Source organism: Homo sapiens, chromosome Y, assembly GCF_000001405.40.
Source record: "Homo sapiens chromosome Y, GRCh38.p14 Primary Assembly".
In the NCBI taxonomy this organism is placed as follows: Eukaryota; Metazoa; Chordata; class Mammalia; order Primates; family Hominidae; genus Homo; species Homo sapiens.
The window spans coordinates 23,184,091-23,200,051 of record NC_000024.10 but is presented as its reverse complement, the minus strand read 5'-3'; the positions used below and the strand labels follow the sequence as shown (position 1 = coordinate 23,200,051).

At 38.5% G+C, this 15,961-nt stretch overlaps 1 protein-coding gene across 2 annotated transcripts in view; it reads left to right on the top strand.

The window, feature by feature from the left end:
- The window catches only part of DAZ1 (deleted in azoospermia 1), a 69,740-nt gene continuing 54,736 nt past the window's right edge, over nucleotides 958-15,961 (top strand). The window contains exons 1-6 of one of the 2 annotated variants that reach the window (NM_001388496.1): nucleotides 958-1,254; nucleotides 7,854-8,000; nucleotides 8,275-8,366; nucleotides 8,927-8,978; nucleotides 9,415-9,478; nucleotides 9,568-9,707. In NM_001388496.1, coding sequence (NP_001375425.1) covers nucleotides 1,252-1,254; nucleotides 7,854-8,000; nucleotides 8,275-8,366; nucleotides 8,927-8,978; nucleotides 9,415-9,478; nucleotides 9,568-9,707 — 498 coding nt within the window. In that variant the 5' untranslated portion in view covers nucleotides 958-1,251. The remainder of the gene's footprint in view (nucleotides 1,255-7,853; nucleotides 8,001-8,274; nucleotides 8,367-8,926; nucleotides 8,979-9,414; nucleotides 9,479-9,567; nucleotides 9,708-15,961) is intronic. The other variant, NM_004081.7, reaches the window with a different exon arrangement.

Genomic DNA, 15,961 nt, shown 5'->3' with positions numbered 1-15,961 from the left:
TTTGAACAATTCATTGCTCTGGTTTTCAGTTGATTTTTGGTTCTTGGAATTTCCCTTCTTTTTTTATGGGCTTATCTGCCTATTGGAAACAAAACGTTATTTTTTTTTATCCCGCATTACTAGATGTCAGTAGTGAGACACGTCTCACGTTATAGCAGTCCAGCATTTTGCCAGTTCAAAAAGTCACATTTTAATTCTTTCCGTCAGTACAGAAGTGAAGTTTGAGGATAAAGGTCATAGCCACGTAGCCCTGTGTGCATAACCAGGTGCTGGAGTGGTCCCCAAAGTTATGTGATTGGCTCCACCACCTGCCCCACAGCTTGCTCCCGCTCTAGGCCCTTGCTCTGATCTTGAGAATGTTCTGTAAGTCTCTAGGCAGGCCTAGCGTCTTTCTGTAAGTCCTAGAAGGTGAAGTCTTCCATTAAAATGTAAAATCCCTGAGCAAAGAGATATTATTTTATTCTGTTCACTCCTGCATCTGCAGTACCTGGTAATCACAGGCACTCAGTAACTATCTCTTGAAAGAAGGAACATCCTGAATGTCAAAACTGGCGTTCCCTCCCATCCAACCCCTTATATCTCAAACTTGACAGAAAGGAGTCCAAGTTTCTGGCCTGTTGATGTCTCCCTCCGTTTTCCACAGACTTGCTACTATTTATTTCTGCAGGTACTTTAAAAGATTTTGGGGTGGGTGTGACGCTAACAGTGATTGTGCTAAACCTGTGCATTCCGGAAGCCATTTTGAAACTACAGCCCAGACACATTATCATTTTTTAAAACTATACCATATATTTCAGTATGCATACTTATTTCAAGGGTGTTTTGGAGGCGGTGCCTGCCTGGAACCCAGGCACTGGCCAGCACACACGCACGGCATACCCTGCGTACTCTACGCACCCACAGCGTGGGGGACGGCCGTCATCCCCCGCAGGCCTCCACCCTCCAGGGGGCGGGTGTGCTGCCACCCATTGGCTCAGGCCGATACCACGCGCCCCGATACCCGGCACAGGAGCCACCTCCCAGAGCCCCGCAGTCCATGCCTCAGTCGGCCTGCGCTCCTCAGCCTGGCGGTTCTACCTCCGAGGGTTCGCCCGCCCTTGGTTTTCCTTACACCTTAGCCTTTGGCTCCTTTGACCACTCGAAGCCCCACAGCGTGTTCCAGCGGACTTCACCAGCAGACCCAGAAGTGGTGGGTGAAACACTGCCTCTGTTCCTCCTTGAGCCTGTCGGGAGCTGCTGCCTGCCACCACCATGGTGAGTTGAAGGAAAGACCTGAGGGGCAAGGCCTGTGGGGTCTTCACCGGTGGGTGAAACCAGGCTCCGCCTTATCCTCGGTTTTCCTGTTTCGGGGCCACCCCGCTGAATGCATTAGGAGCCGTGGCCCGCAGGGTGGGGTGAGGCGGCCTGGCAGCAGCGCGGCCTATACAGAGAGGCAGGCACAGAAGTGGCGGGACAGCAAGCATGGCGTGGGTCCCCAGGACGCCCTGCCTCACAGTTCACTTACAAGGGCCACGGCCTCCTTGCGGAACCCATTTCCTGCCCCGGGTTCTCTCCTGGCAGCGGTTTGGGGTGCGGGTTCCCCACCCCCACGCGTCCCCACCCCCACTCCTAGGCGCCCTTTCCCCCTTCCCCCACTCCCACGCGCCCCCACCCCGCCAACTTCACTTCTGACGCTCTCCTGGTGGCTCCGCAAGATGGCGGCGGGCCTGCTGAGAGACTTGCCTCCTTGGATTGGGAGGGCCGGAACTTCTTCAGGAAGTGGTTCCCTCCTGGTCCTTGTACTACTGGGTGGGGTGGGTTGGTGGGGTTTGTGGGGGCCTGAGTGTGGCGGGTGGGGCGGCCTGAAGGCGCGGCCCACTAGCTGAGGGGGCTGGGTGGGAAGTGCCTCTGATCCTTTCGCGGCTAGCAGCTGCTGGGGGCTTGGCTGATGGCGGCTGGCTGATGGCGGCTCCCTACTGCGGCGGCGACAGGCACAAAAGCTCACTCGACGCCATCTTTGTGGCAAGAGGTTGGCTTCGGCAGTTACCATTGAGAATTTTAGAATTTTTAAACTCCAGGCACAATCTTTCCCCCGTAGATAAACCAGGAAACTTTGACTAAATGTCCAATTGGTAGATAATGTTGGGTGTGCATTTCTGTGAGTTTGGTAAATGCCCAGCGTTCATTGAGCGCCATCACAGATGTGGCTCTGAATACGCTGACCAAACACTGAGTCACAAACACGCGTGTTACATGCTGTGTGCGTATCTGCATTGATAATTTTGTCTTTTCGTTTTTGGAAATAAAAGGAGGAGTTTTATACACGGTTTATATTACCATGTATAAACATTAAAAATACATAAGCAACTATAATGTGTAATAAGTGTGCAACATGTTACCCATGCTAATGAAAAAATCACCTTGAGTTATAAGTTATAATTATTTACAATAATACTTTTCATTTTTAGAGGTAGAGGGAAGAAATGCTTATCGTTTCATTAGGTTTTTTTCCTGATTATAAAAGTAGTGTAGTATATTTACTCATTTGAAAACAATCACACTAAGAAAATAGCAGTCCATGTTAATACCAACACATAAAACCACAGTTAAGTTTTGATACATGAATGCCTTTCCAACTTATTTTTATGCATGTATTGCAATTGCATATAGATAGGCCAGCTTTTACAAAAGTTACATAGTGCTGCTTAATACTATTTTACAACTGGCAGCTTTCAATTAATGTGGGTATTATTCTGAAGATAACTTTAATTTTCAGTATATCATGTTAAAAATTGTACTGTTGTTTTACTGAATTCCCTTATGATGAATACTTTTTCAGTATTAAAACTATCATGGGCTGGGCGCGGTGGCTCACGCCTGTAATCCCAACACTTTGGGAGACTGAGGCGGGCGGATCACTTGAGGTCAGGATTTCGAGAGCAGCCCGATTAACATGGTGAAACCCCATCTCTACTAAAAATACGAAAAATTAGCCAGGCGTGGTGGCGTGCACTTGTAATCCCAGCTACTCGGGAGGCTGAGGCAGGAGAATCATTTGAACCTGGGAAGCAGGTTGCAGTGAGCTGAGATGGTGCCACTGCAGTCCAGCCTAGGCAACAAAGGGAGACTCAGTCTCAAAACAAAATTTAAAAAATGCCATGAATGTCCTTGTGTAAATATCTTGGCACACTTGTACTTAATTATTAATTCCTTGAGATTAATTGCTGTAAGTGGCATTGCTGGGTGGAAGTGCTTTTGCCCTTTCATAACAATTTTAAATTATGCTCCTCATTAGTATAGTGGTGAGTATCCCCCTGTCAAATTATGATACACCTTTTCCAAGGTGCTCTTGGTAAAGCATGTATCAGTATTTTCCCACTGATGGTGTGTAGAGTGATCTCTGTTGCACACCCTTTCTAATGAACGGTATTAGGATTTTGTACATCGTCAGCCTAATAGCTGGATAATGTTACACTATGTTGATGTGCACTTTTTTGAATCATCAGTGAAGTTGAGCATTGATCATTAGCTTTTTAAATTTCCTTTTTTAATTTTATTTTTCTTACTGACTCATAAAAACCCTGTATTAATATTCGCATTTGTCATACATAGTGGGAAAATATATATAGTAGTAATGATGAGGTGCCATGGTGCCCTTACCTCATTCCTATTTTCAGTGGAGATGGCTCTAGTATTTCACTGTAAGCTTCATGATAGGGTAGAATTAGATTGATAGAAAGCAAGAATCCTCTATTTCTATTTTACTTAGGTTTTAAAAAAATTTAAAAATGAATGCTGTATTTTATTAAATACTTTTTCAATGACGAATTAAAGTAACGTATCCTGCGAATGCAGTATTCTTGCATTGCCAATATAAACTATATTCTTTCCTACTGGAATTTTGCATTTGTGTTGAGGAGAGGGTTGGACCATCTTGATGAGGCTTTGTTGCTTATGTGTTGTTAACCTTTGTAAAATGCATTGAGAAGTACTTTTTTCCTCTTTGAAAATTGAAGAAAAGAGTTTACATTTCTTAATCTCTTCTTCTATCTTTACTTCAGGTTTCTGGCGTCTGTGTGCACCTCTCTGTGACACACCACATACACCCAAGTTACCTGTTTCTTTACAAGTTGAAAAAACTCCCAGGGAAACTAAGCCAAATACCATTGGGTGTTCTTTTTCAAGATTGTTTGGGAAGAATTAAAATTTCTGTACAAGTTGACCATGTCGTTGATTTCAAAATTTATTCCTATAGAGTTTGAGCATAACATTCTTTTATAACCACGGGCCACAACCCATTTTTCAGGTCTCATATATTTTTGCTTTTTCTTGCTTAGTTTTGCAAGGATTGTGTATTGCTTGAATTTCATCCTTGCCACCCACCACTCCCCGGGACTCTGTTCTTGGATTAACTTCTGATTTTCACGTCATATTTTCTTAATTTTAGCATTCTCTTTATTTGCTCCTCTTCCTATTGCTGTGAATGTAACTTTGATGACTACAAATGATAGGCTTTTTCCTGGCCAGTTTATGTAAATAACAATTTGCTTACATGTTCACATAGTAATTGCATTAGATAGTACTGGCAGAGGAGCTGACATGGCAGGAGTTTAATGATAATTTTTTCCAGCTTTTAGCTGTCTTTGTCACTTGATTGTCCGCATATAACAAGGAATATGTTTGCTAGAAATAGCAATGAGAGTTGTGATTATGACGGTCTTGAAGCTCACCCCTGTTTACTATTGCAACATTTCTCATTTGAAAATTCAACAACTCACTTGAAGATACGGTTAAGAAAATTACTTCTTGTGTTTTGTGTTTTTTTGTTTGTTTGTTTGTTTTATTTTATTTTATTTTTTTGAGACGGAGTCTCGCTCTGTCGCCCAGGCCGGACTGCGGACTGCAGTGGCGCAATCTCGGCTCACTGCAAGCTCCGCTTCCCGGGTTCACGCCATTCTCCTGCCTCAGCCTCCCGAGTAGCTGGGACTACAGGCGCCCGCCACCGCGCCCGGCTAATTTTTTGTATTTTTAGTAGAGACGGGGTTTCACCTTGTTAGCCAGGATGGTCTCGATCTCCTGACCTCATGATCCACCCGCCTCGGCCTCCCAAAGTGCTGGGATTACAGGCGTGAGCCACCGCGCCCGGCCAAGAAAATTACTTCTTTAATGCAGTTTGTTTTCAGGATGCCATTGACGGTTACGATGGTACTTTCTTTCAAACTAAACTTTTGCTTATCCGAAGCATTCATTTATATTTTTGGCCGTAGTTTAAAACTAACCAAAGTTTGTCTGTTGATTGTGGATTTTTATATATACATTATATAATTATGTATAAGTACACAGTCGGAATTGAACAATCCCTGCTACTCGAGCCATGGTAAAAGTGAAGTACGTTGCAGAAAACGAGGTACATTGCTTACCTTGTTAGCTTTGAGCGCCACCTGCTGGCTGAGGACTAGGACATGATCATTACTTCCTTCATTTAAAGTATTATGACGCTGTTAGAGAGATTCAGTGAATTTTATATGTACGATTCCAGTTAAGCAGGCAGCCGGTTTGTAAGATCCAAGCTAAAGTCAAACTTCTTAATAATATCAAATGCCTTTTTTCTTCTTTACCAAACTACGGTTATTTCGAGTATCCAAATGAGTATGAGAATCAGAAGAGACACCCGAGGTCTTTTCCGGCCATTCGTTTTCAAGCAAGGAAACTGAAACCGAGGTCATGAAAAGATTCACTTTAGTGAGCGATGGAAATCAGGTTCTTCCCAAAGAAGAATTTTCCTCTTCAATTCTTGTGGCACGGTGACAAGGTTTCTTAACCAGACCCTTTTCAAATTGTGCACCAAATACTTCCTTATGGTAGGAGGCTGTCTTTACACTGTAGGATGCGCAGTAGTGTGCCTGGCCTTCGGCCCATCAGATTCCAGGAATACATCTCAGTTGTGACAGCCAATCTCTAAACGTCGCTAAATGCCCCTGGGGCTCAAAAATCTTGCCCAGTTGAGAATCAGTGCATTTCCGTAACCTCTCGTAGTCTGACACAGTTTTCTGCCAGATGTTACATTTCTAAATTAAAATACATCCAAACACTATGGTGCAGAGACGATACTGTAATATAGCTTGTTTATCAAGGAAACACATACCCAAAGTTCATCCACAAATCAAGGAGGAATTGGAAAGGAGAAAAAGAAACTACAAGAATTTCAGAATTTGTTTTGTTTTGTTTTATTCTGTTTGGGATTTCTGAATGAACTGAGAAGGAATTGGTAAATTGTCTATAGGGAAGGGAGATCTAATCAGGTTCCCAGTAGTTCAAGGTAGTGCAGCTTAATGTCATTTGGAAAAAGCAATAATGTGAGACATTTTTGAAAGGAAGAACTTTAAAAATAGTGTTTTAAATTTTTCTTTCACATCATTGTCATGAAATAACGCTGTTAAAGGAAAGAATTAGGAATTAGTTACAGACCCAAAATAGCAAGTACAAGCACGAAAGAATAGAGAAATGCAGTAACCTCGGCTTTAGTTGATTTGACAATTTAGATTTGATCTCTAGTAAAGCTGTGTAGAATCAGTAACTTCTAGGCTCTAATTAACAAAGCAGGAACCCTCCTTTCTTATTAACTTCTGTAACATTACTGTGTTCAAAAAGATAACGCAGTTTCTTTTGTCTTTTGTTTTCTTTCAGACAGGTATATGTGTAATAGCTTTCTCTTTTGCAGCATTTTGTACTGACATTTGTGAAGTCAACAGCACTTCACCAATGATTTTTAAATTAATGATGTGTCATAGTTTCCTGATGTGTCAATTAGTTCTTAATTAAAATTTTTTCAAAATAAGTCAGCTAAATAGTGAAGCCAAAAAAGAAACTTGAAAACAAATCGGCTGAAAATAAATTCAAATAACAGGACACTAACTTACATTGGCACACCACTTGTACCACTTTATACGTACAAAATGAATTCACAGATGTGATCTCATGTCATTCTCAAAGCACTTTGCCCACAGATACATAGCTGGCAAGTAGGTGGCTTATAACCACTTACCTGTAAGGGACATAAACCTAGATCTCCTGACTGAATTAATTTTTGTTTCACTATGCTATATTGTTTCTCCAACGTATATATTACTTATGAATACTACTTCAGAAAATTTTACATTAACCTTAGAGTCTGCTGTGGAAAGAATAAAGACAGTTCTGATCAGAATCTAGAAAATTAGTGAGTTATATGTATGTGTTTTTTTATCTGAAAATAAAGATGGTATCATTTATATCTATCAGCCCACTGTGAAAATCAGAATTATCAGTCAGACTGATTCCGTGTTACTCAGGAAGAAAAATGTTATTTCAAAAGATGCTTTGAACACCCTAGCGTTAGGGAAGAGGATTGTAACAAATTGGTTTAAAACGTTGAGGCTTATTTTCTTTTTGGTGGGGCTTTTTTTTTTTTTTTTTTTTTTTAAGATTTATCTTTAGTCTACTCAGTAAAGTGAAAAGTTGTTTATGAATATAGAACAGGATGATTTTAATAACTTTAATTTTTACAAATCTAAACTCTCTAGTTTTGGGTGTCTTTTTTAACTACTTCACGTAGTACTTTCACAAATACTAAATGGGTATTCTTCCACAGCATTATACAAGACTCGGTGATGAGCGGCACTAGGTTTAAGAAAGTACTGTATCCTTCGGTTAAAATTCCATGCTGATGTACTCTGATAAGTTTAAATCCTGAGCCTGAACTGAGCTGCACTGGTGACTGAATTACAATGAAAGTAATTTATATAAAATATACTTAAAATACAAAAATGGTATTTCACATTATGTATGGGTTTTGCCTGCATACGTAATTATGATGTCTACTTTCCAAATTACAGTCTGCTGCAAATCCTGAGACTCCAAACTCAACCATCTCCAGAGAGGCCAGCACCCAGTCTTCATCAGCTGCAGCTAGCCAAGGCTGGGTGTTACCAGAAGGCAAAATCGTGCCAAACACTGTTTTTGTTGGTGGAATTGATGCTAGGGTATTGTATTCGTACCTCATTTTTACCTTAACATACATCATGAACAATGGGATGTGGGCCCTGTTACAAACTTAAATTTTTTTTTGTACTTCCTGGAGGTTTAGAATTGCTTTTAGGTTTGACCCATAGGTACTAAAAATATCTTTGACAAAGGGCTGCTGGTCATTCGGGGATAAATGGGGGAGAAATTTCCACCTCATGGTAGTAAAATTGTAGTAAAGTTGAAATTTTTGAATGCTGAATTTTTACTCTGACGTTCAGTTCTTTTCCATAGATGGATGAAACTGAGATTGGAAGCTGCTTTGGTAGATACGGTTCAGTGAAAGAAGTGAAGATAATCACGAATCGAACTGGTGTGTCCAAAGGGTGAGTAATTTTATCAAAAATATGTGAACTCCAGTCACCTATTCTATAAGTATCAGACAAGACTTCAAAACTGATATTCTGACCCTTGTATAAATGCAATATTCTGCAGTGTTAATTTCTTTCACGTAGGGGATAAAAGGCTATTACCAGTTCTTCTATTTGACCATTTTTCTAATGTTTGTATTTAAATGTCTCCAGTTTCTATTTCATACAGATGAGTTAATCAGTTTTCTCAAATAATTGTTTTCTTCATACACTGCAGAGCATCTTAAATTTTAACCACCTTGTCTTAGACAGTAAGTTAAACTCAGGTTCACAGATATGAATTCTTTGCTAATCAATAAAGTTGTCACACTGCCCTAATCCTAGCACATTTTGACATAGTTCTGCTTAAGAAAAAGTGGTATTTGTAGAGGATCTGTCATGTACATCTTAGCAAATACTTATCATGGTATATTATTCGTCTTTTGTCATGACCACTTCTGTATATAGAATAGTAGACCTTCTGAACCACGTACTGTATGATGGTGATTTTATGCTTCATTTGTCTGCCTTTATAGCTATGGATTTGTTTCGTTTGTTAATGACGTGGATGTCCAGAAGATAGTAGGAGTAAGTAATCTAATAGAAAAATCTCTTATTTATCTTATTGCTACAACGTTTAGTGTCAGTGATACACTCGGACTTGTGTAAAATTTGGGGAAAGACACACTTCCTGTTCAAAATCCAAACTCAGAGTAACCTCACGTAGCTTGTTTGATCCTGTTTATTTTTGACTGGACACCTAGTTTCATGAACTACAGACAGGAAGGGTTGGAGACAGGGTGATGGAAAGTTTTTGATCAACTTTCACTTGATGCCTCTTGACACTGATTAGAGTAGTAAGGGTAAGTAAGGTAGCTTCGTGATGACAAATTTTAATTTGGTGCGTAGTTGTCCCCGATCTTCTATGATGATAGGTACTTTAGAAGACTTCAGGTGTTTACCCAAGTCTTGGAAGCTAACACTTGAAAATTGATTCTAGTTTTGTTAACGGTTCTATTTTCAGTCACAGATACATTTCCATGGTAAAAAGCTGAAGCTGGGCCCTGCAATCAGGAAACAAAAGTTATGTGAGTAGGAAAAGAAATGGTTCTTTTCTGACCCGTGTAGCTTTTCAAATAACTAAAAATAGGCTTTTTTCTTCTTGCTTTTTAAAAAGGTGCTCGTCATGTGCAGCCACGTCCTTTGGTAGTTAATCCTCCTCCTCCACCACAGTTTCAGAACGTCTGGCGGAATCCAAACACTGAAACCTACCTGCAGCCCCAAATCACGCCGAATCCTGTAACTCAGCACGTTCAGGTAAGAACTGCTTATGTTCCTGTTCTCTTGTTTATTCTAGTCATCCTTCCCTCTGTGGAATTGTATCTACACTTTCCATAGTAAGTGGCAATAGAATCCCTGTTTGAACAGTGTGAGTAACGGGAAATCTGTTACTTTTGTTAGAAATTTCTTATTCTTCGTGTTCGTCATTTGAGCTAAGAATCTTCTGTATACTTGGCGAAGCTTTCTCTTAGAAATGACCTCTGTAGACACATGAACAAATCTCTTCCTATCTCTGCCTCTTTCACCTCATATAACTAGTTCCTAAAGTATTTGGAAGCAGCCCTCCTTATGTGTCTGCCTAGTTTATTGTTCTCTAAGGTTAGCAGTTAACCTAGCTATTCTTTACTTGCAGTGATTTCCAGATGCCTCCTCATATAAATTGCTTGACTTCTGGGTATATTCTGGTTCTGGGATGGGTAGATTTCTGATCTCTTTTGCTCTATCTAGAAATCCCGTGAGTTTCTGGCACGTAATTTCTCTGATGCTGGTTGCTTTGATATTTAAAGTAGGATTTGACATACTCTTGTCACTTACTGGTGATAAATAACGTTTAGTTTGTTCTTCGTTCATTTTATTTATGTGTTAGTTTTTAAAAAGAGGTTTTCTTCGATGGAAAATAAAGTAACCAAATAGTAGTGAATTAGTTCTTCAGTGTCTCTCATTTGTTGACATTTTCCGTGTACTTGAAACGTGTGGGGTACACCTCTTCTTCTTTTTCCTTCTCTGAGCAATGGCTAGAAGAAAAGCCCTACTTGTTTGTAGCATTTACTGTGAGCCATTACTGAATGTGGGTGTATTGATGAATGATGCTACCTGTATGTTTTTAATCAGTAAGTATTTATTGAAAAGTAGAAGACATTATACTGTCTCTTTTCCAGCTGTGGCTTACTTACTGCCCTTAATTTGTGGAAAAGAAGTACAGAGAAAGCCGTAACATCTGCCGAAGAACTACAGTATTACCCTATAATATCATCAGATAGCAAACAGTCTAGAAGTATTTTGCCAAAGAAAGAGCAAATGTATTATTTTAACTTACGTTGAAATCTATCTTAATAGAGCCTTATCAGCAGCGTAAGAAATAACTTCTGGGTGGGCATAAGTACACAGTATAAATATGGTAGACTTTGGCCGGTGCAACAGTCACTTGTTTTGTCATTTGTCTCTTCCCCCTCCCCGCCCAAAGGGTAGCACTTGACAGAGAATATTTGTTTCTTCATGTCAGTCATTCATTTAGAAATCTGTATTTCTGTATGTAGAAAAATAATTACCATTTCAAGGTTTTTCGTATTTTTGTTATTTTGGGAATGGTATTTCTTTCTAGTTAAAAAAAAAAACACATTTTACCGTATTAATCCATTCCTTCTGTAAACTTTATTCTCGGCTTATTCTCCTTATCCAAACTCACCAGGTCAGGTCATCACTGGGTATCAGTTGCCTGTGTATAATTATCAGGTGATTGAAGAGGGAGTAAAATGATTTACTTTCAGCTACTACTGAGGCCTTCAACTTGTTTATACAAATTGCCTGAATAGTTTGTCCTTTTAAACTAGTGAACTGTACCTAAAATTTAAGAAAACACTTAGAATTAGTGTAATGAAGACCTCTGTAGTATGTAGAAGTGATGAAATAATATTTTGACAGGAGGGTACTTAGCAGTAACTTTTCTGCAGAACAGTTTCTGAGATTTGGTGTTCCTGTCTTGGTTTCAGCATGAATTTTGTTATCTTTGCTGTCAAAGAGCTGAAACATGGCAGACTGTCTTTCGTGAATTTTGTAGAGATACAGAGTGAAATAAAAGCTTTACCCAATTCTTAGAGCGCAGAATTCCAATTGTGTTTTTATTTTAGCTTGCTGCTTCATGATAAAGACTTCTCTGGGTCTCTTTTCAACGATACGAGTATATCTATGACCAATAATCGTATCTGTGGTAACAAATTCAAAGAATTAGTATCTTTGAGAGTTCCACAATGCCATTTGCAGAAAATTGGGAAAAAGGTGAGGTTTTCTATGTAGAAGGAGCAACAAGAACTTCAGGGATTAGAAACCTAAAGTACTTCTTTTTTTCTATTCTGTTTCTTTCGTTATATTAACCAAGGAGCCAGCATGAGAAGTACTTCAGTATTGTGTATCTCATGTGTTTTTGAAAAAGTACAGGAATATTTGAATAATATTGGTTTCCTTTTTTTTTTTTTTTTTTCAAGTTGCCACCGCAGTGGCCTGTTGGGGAGCAAAGGAGTTATGCTGTACTTCAGATAAAGTGAATGCGCCGAACCTATACTCCCTGTTCTTTCTTTTTTTTCTGTGTCATATATGCCTATAAATTTTTTAAATCGTTCTTTGTATTAATGTGGCACATTTTGTTACTTTCTTTTTAACCCAATTTTAAACTCCTATGGGAGCAACAGTGCCTTTTTCTCTGTCAGGTTTTTGCGTGCTTAAGGAATGGCTCGTACACATGATGATAAGAAAGAATTCAGTAGCTTTTTGATAGACTATACACTCCATGAAAGGTAGTATTAATAGTGGCTTTAGAATGAGCATGTATCTGCCTGGAATCTGCCTCTGGCTTTACCCTCCGTAAAAAAAAAAAAAAAAAAAAAAAAAAAAAAAAGTGTTCAAGAGAAACAGAAATGTTTTGCTATTAATTACTCTTAAATAAGAGTAGGAAGAAAAAAGAGTATTACCTCTAAAACACCCGAACTGCTTTCCCCCCACATAACTAGTTCCGAAAATATTTGAAAGCAGCTGTCTTCGTGTGTCTGCCTAGTTTATTCTTCCCGAAGGTTAGCAATTCATCCAGCTGTTCTTTACTTGCAATGATTTCCAGATGTCTCCTCATATAGATTGCTGACTTCTGGATATATTCTGGTTCTGGAATGGGTAGATTTCTGATGTGTTTTCCTATATTTATAAATCCCGTGAGTTTCGGGCATGTGATTTCTCTGATGCTGGTTACCTTGATATTTAAAGTAGGATTTGACATACTCTGTCACTTACTGGGGATAAGTAATGTTTATTTTCTTTTTAGTTTGTTTTATTGATGTCTTAGTTTAAAAGACATTTTCTTTGATGGAAAATAAAGTAACAAAATAGTGGTGAAATAGTTCTTCAGTGTCTCTCGTTTGTTGACGTTTTCCATGTGCTTGAAACAGGTAGGGTATACCTCTGCTTCTTTTTTGTCCTCTGAACGATGGCTAGCAAAAAAGCCCTGTTTCTCACATTTACGGTGAGCCATTACGTAATCTGGGTGTATTCATGTGTGATGCTACGTATAGTTTTCAATCAGTAAGTATTTATTGAAACGTAGAAGACACCATACTGTCTCTTTTCCAGCTGTGGATCATATACTGCCCTTAGTTTTTTGAAATGAAGTACAGAAAAAGCCGTAACATTTGTAGGAGAACGTCGTATTACCCTATAATATTGTCAAATAGAAAACCCTTTAGAAGTATTTTAACAAAGAAATAGCAAATGGATTAATTTAACTTACAATTGAAGTCTGTCTTAATAGAGCCTTATCACCAGCGTAAGAAATAACTTCTGGGCGGGCGTAAGTACACAGTATAAATAAGGTAAACTTGTCTGGTGAAATAGTCCCTTCTTTTGTCATTTGTCTGTTCCCCTTCCCCAGCCAAAGGGCCTCACTTGACAGAATATTTCTTCTTCATAAAATCAGTCACTCATTTAGAATTCTGCAGTGCTGTATATAGAAAAGTAATGTTTTAAAACTTTTTCATAGTTTTTTATATTGGGAATAGTATTTCTAATTAACAAAATGTTTTACCGTATTCATTCATTCTTACTGTAAACTTTATTTATAGGCACACACTACTCACCCAAATTCAGCAGTTCACGGCATCACTAGATATCATTTGCCTGTATATAATTATCAGGTAATTTAAGAGGGAGTAAAATGATTTACTTTCAGATATTATTGAGCCCTTTGTTTATACAAATTGCTTGAATAGTTTGCCATTTTAAAGAAGTGAAATGTACCTAAAATTTAAGACAACACTTCAAATTAGTCTAGAATGAAGGCCTCTGTATTATTTAGAAGTAATTGAGTAATATTTTGACAGGAATGTACTTAGCAAAAACTTTACTGTAGAATAGGTTTTTGAGATTTGGTGTCCCCTTCTATATTGTAGCATGTTTTTTTTTTTTTTTTTTTTTTTTAAATCTTTGCCGTCAAATAGCCGAAACATCCAGACTGACTTTTATCAGTTTTTTAGAGAGACAGAGTGAAATAAAATTATTACCCACTTTTTAGAGCACAGAATTTGAATTATATTTTTATTTTAGCTGGCTGCTTCACAATAGTAGTCCTCTGTGTCTCTTTTCATAGATATGACTGTATATATGACCCATGATCATATCTATGGTAATACATTCAAAGAACTAATATCCTTGAGATTTCCACAATACCAACCCCAGAAAATTGGGAAAAAGTTGAGGTTTTACATATAAAAGTAACAACAAGAACGTCAGGGATTAGAAACTTGAAGTAATTCTTTTTTCCATTCTGTTTCTTTTATTGTAATAACAAATTAAAGGAACCAGCGTATGTACTTCAATGTTGTGTTATCTCATGTGTTTTTGAAAATGTGAAGGAATATTTGAATGATTTTTGTTTCCTGTCTCTACTAAAAATACAAAAAATTTAGCCAGGCGTGGTGGCGCACACTTGTAATCCCAGCTACTCGGGAGGCTGAGGCAGCAGCATCACGTGATCCTGGGGCGCAGATTGCTGTGAGCTGAGATTGTGCCACTGCACTCCAGCCTAGGCGGCAAAGAGAGACTCAGTCTCAAAAAGAACAATGCTGTGAATATCTTTGTGTAAATATCTTGGCACGCTTGTACTATTAATTTCTTGAGATGAATTGCTATAAGTGGAATTGCTAGGTGAAAGCACTTTGCCCCTTGTATAACAATTTTATAATGAATTCTCCTTTTTAGTATAGTGGTGAGTATCCCCGCTTATCAAATTATGATACAGCTTTTCCAAAGTACTCTTGGTAAATCACGTATTAGTATTTTCTCACTGATGGTGTGTAGAGTGCTGTCTTTTCCACACCCATTCCAGTGAAAGTTATTAGTATTTTTTAAATTGTCAGCGTAATAGCTGGAAAATATTACATTATGTTGATGTGCACTTTTAAAAATCATCATTGAAGTTGATCATTGATCTTTAGCTTTTAAAATTACCTTTTTAATTTTATTTTTCTTACTGATTCATAAGAATACTTTGTATTAGTATTCACTTTTGTCATACACAGTGGAAAACATATGCAGGAGTAATAAGGAGGTGCCCTGGTGCCCTTACCTCATTCCTACTTTCAATTGAGTTGACTCAACTATTTCACTTGTAAGCTTGATGATAGGGTAGAATGAGATTGATAGAAAATAAGATTCCTCTACCTCTATTTTACTTGGGTTTTTAAAAAATTTAAATTATGAGTGCTGTATTTTATCAAATGATTTTCAGTGATGAACTAAAGTAATGTATCCTGCGAATGGAGTATTCTTGCATTCCCAATGTAAACTTAGACTCTTTATATACTGCTGGAATTTTGCATTTGTGTTGAGGGCAGGGATGGATCATCTGGATGAGGCTTTGTTACCTATATGCTTTTAGCTTTGTAAAACGCGTTGAGAAATACTTTCTTCCTCATTGAAAATAGAGTTTCTGCTTAGCATTCTTCTATTATCTGTGGCCGCAACCCATTTTTCAGGTCTCATGTATACTTTTGCTTTCTTGTGTTTTCTTGCTTTGTTTTGCCAGGATTGTTTATTGCTTGAATTTCATCCTCCCCACGCACCACTCCCCGAGAATCTGCTCTTTGATTTGCTTAAGGTTTTGATTCTGATTTTCCTGTCATATTTTCTTAATTTTATCACTCTCTTTATTTGCTCCTCTTCTATTGCTGTGAATGTAACTTTGCTGACTACAAATGATAGGCTTTTTCCTGGTCAGTTTATATAAGTATCAGTTTGCTTACAGGTTGACATAGTAATTGAATTAGATAATACTGGCAAAGGAGCTGACATGCCAGGAGTTTAAATAACGATAATTTTTTTGCAGCTTTTAGCTGTCGTTGTCACTTGGTTGTCCACATGTAACAAGGAATGTATTTGCCCTATGTAGCAGTGAGAGTTGCGTGTATGATGGTGTTGAAGCTCACCCCTGTTTACTATTGCAACATTTCTCATTTGAAAATTCAACAACTCAC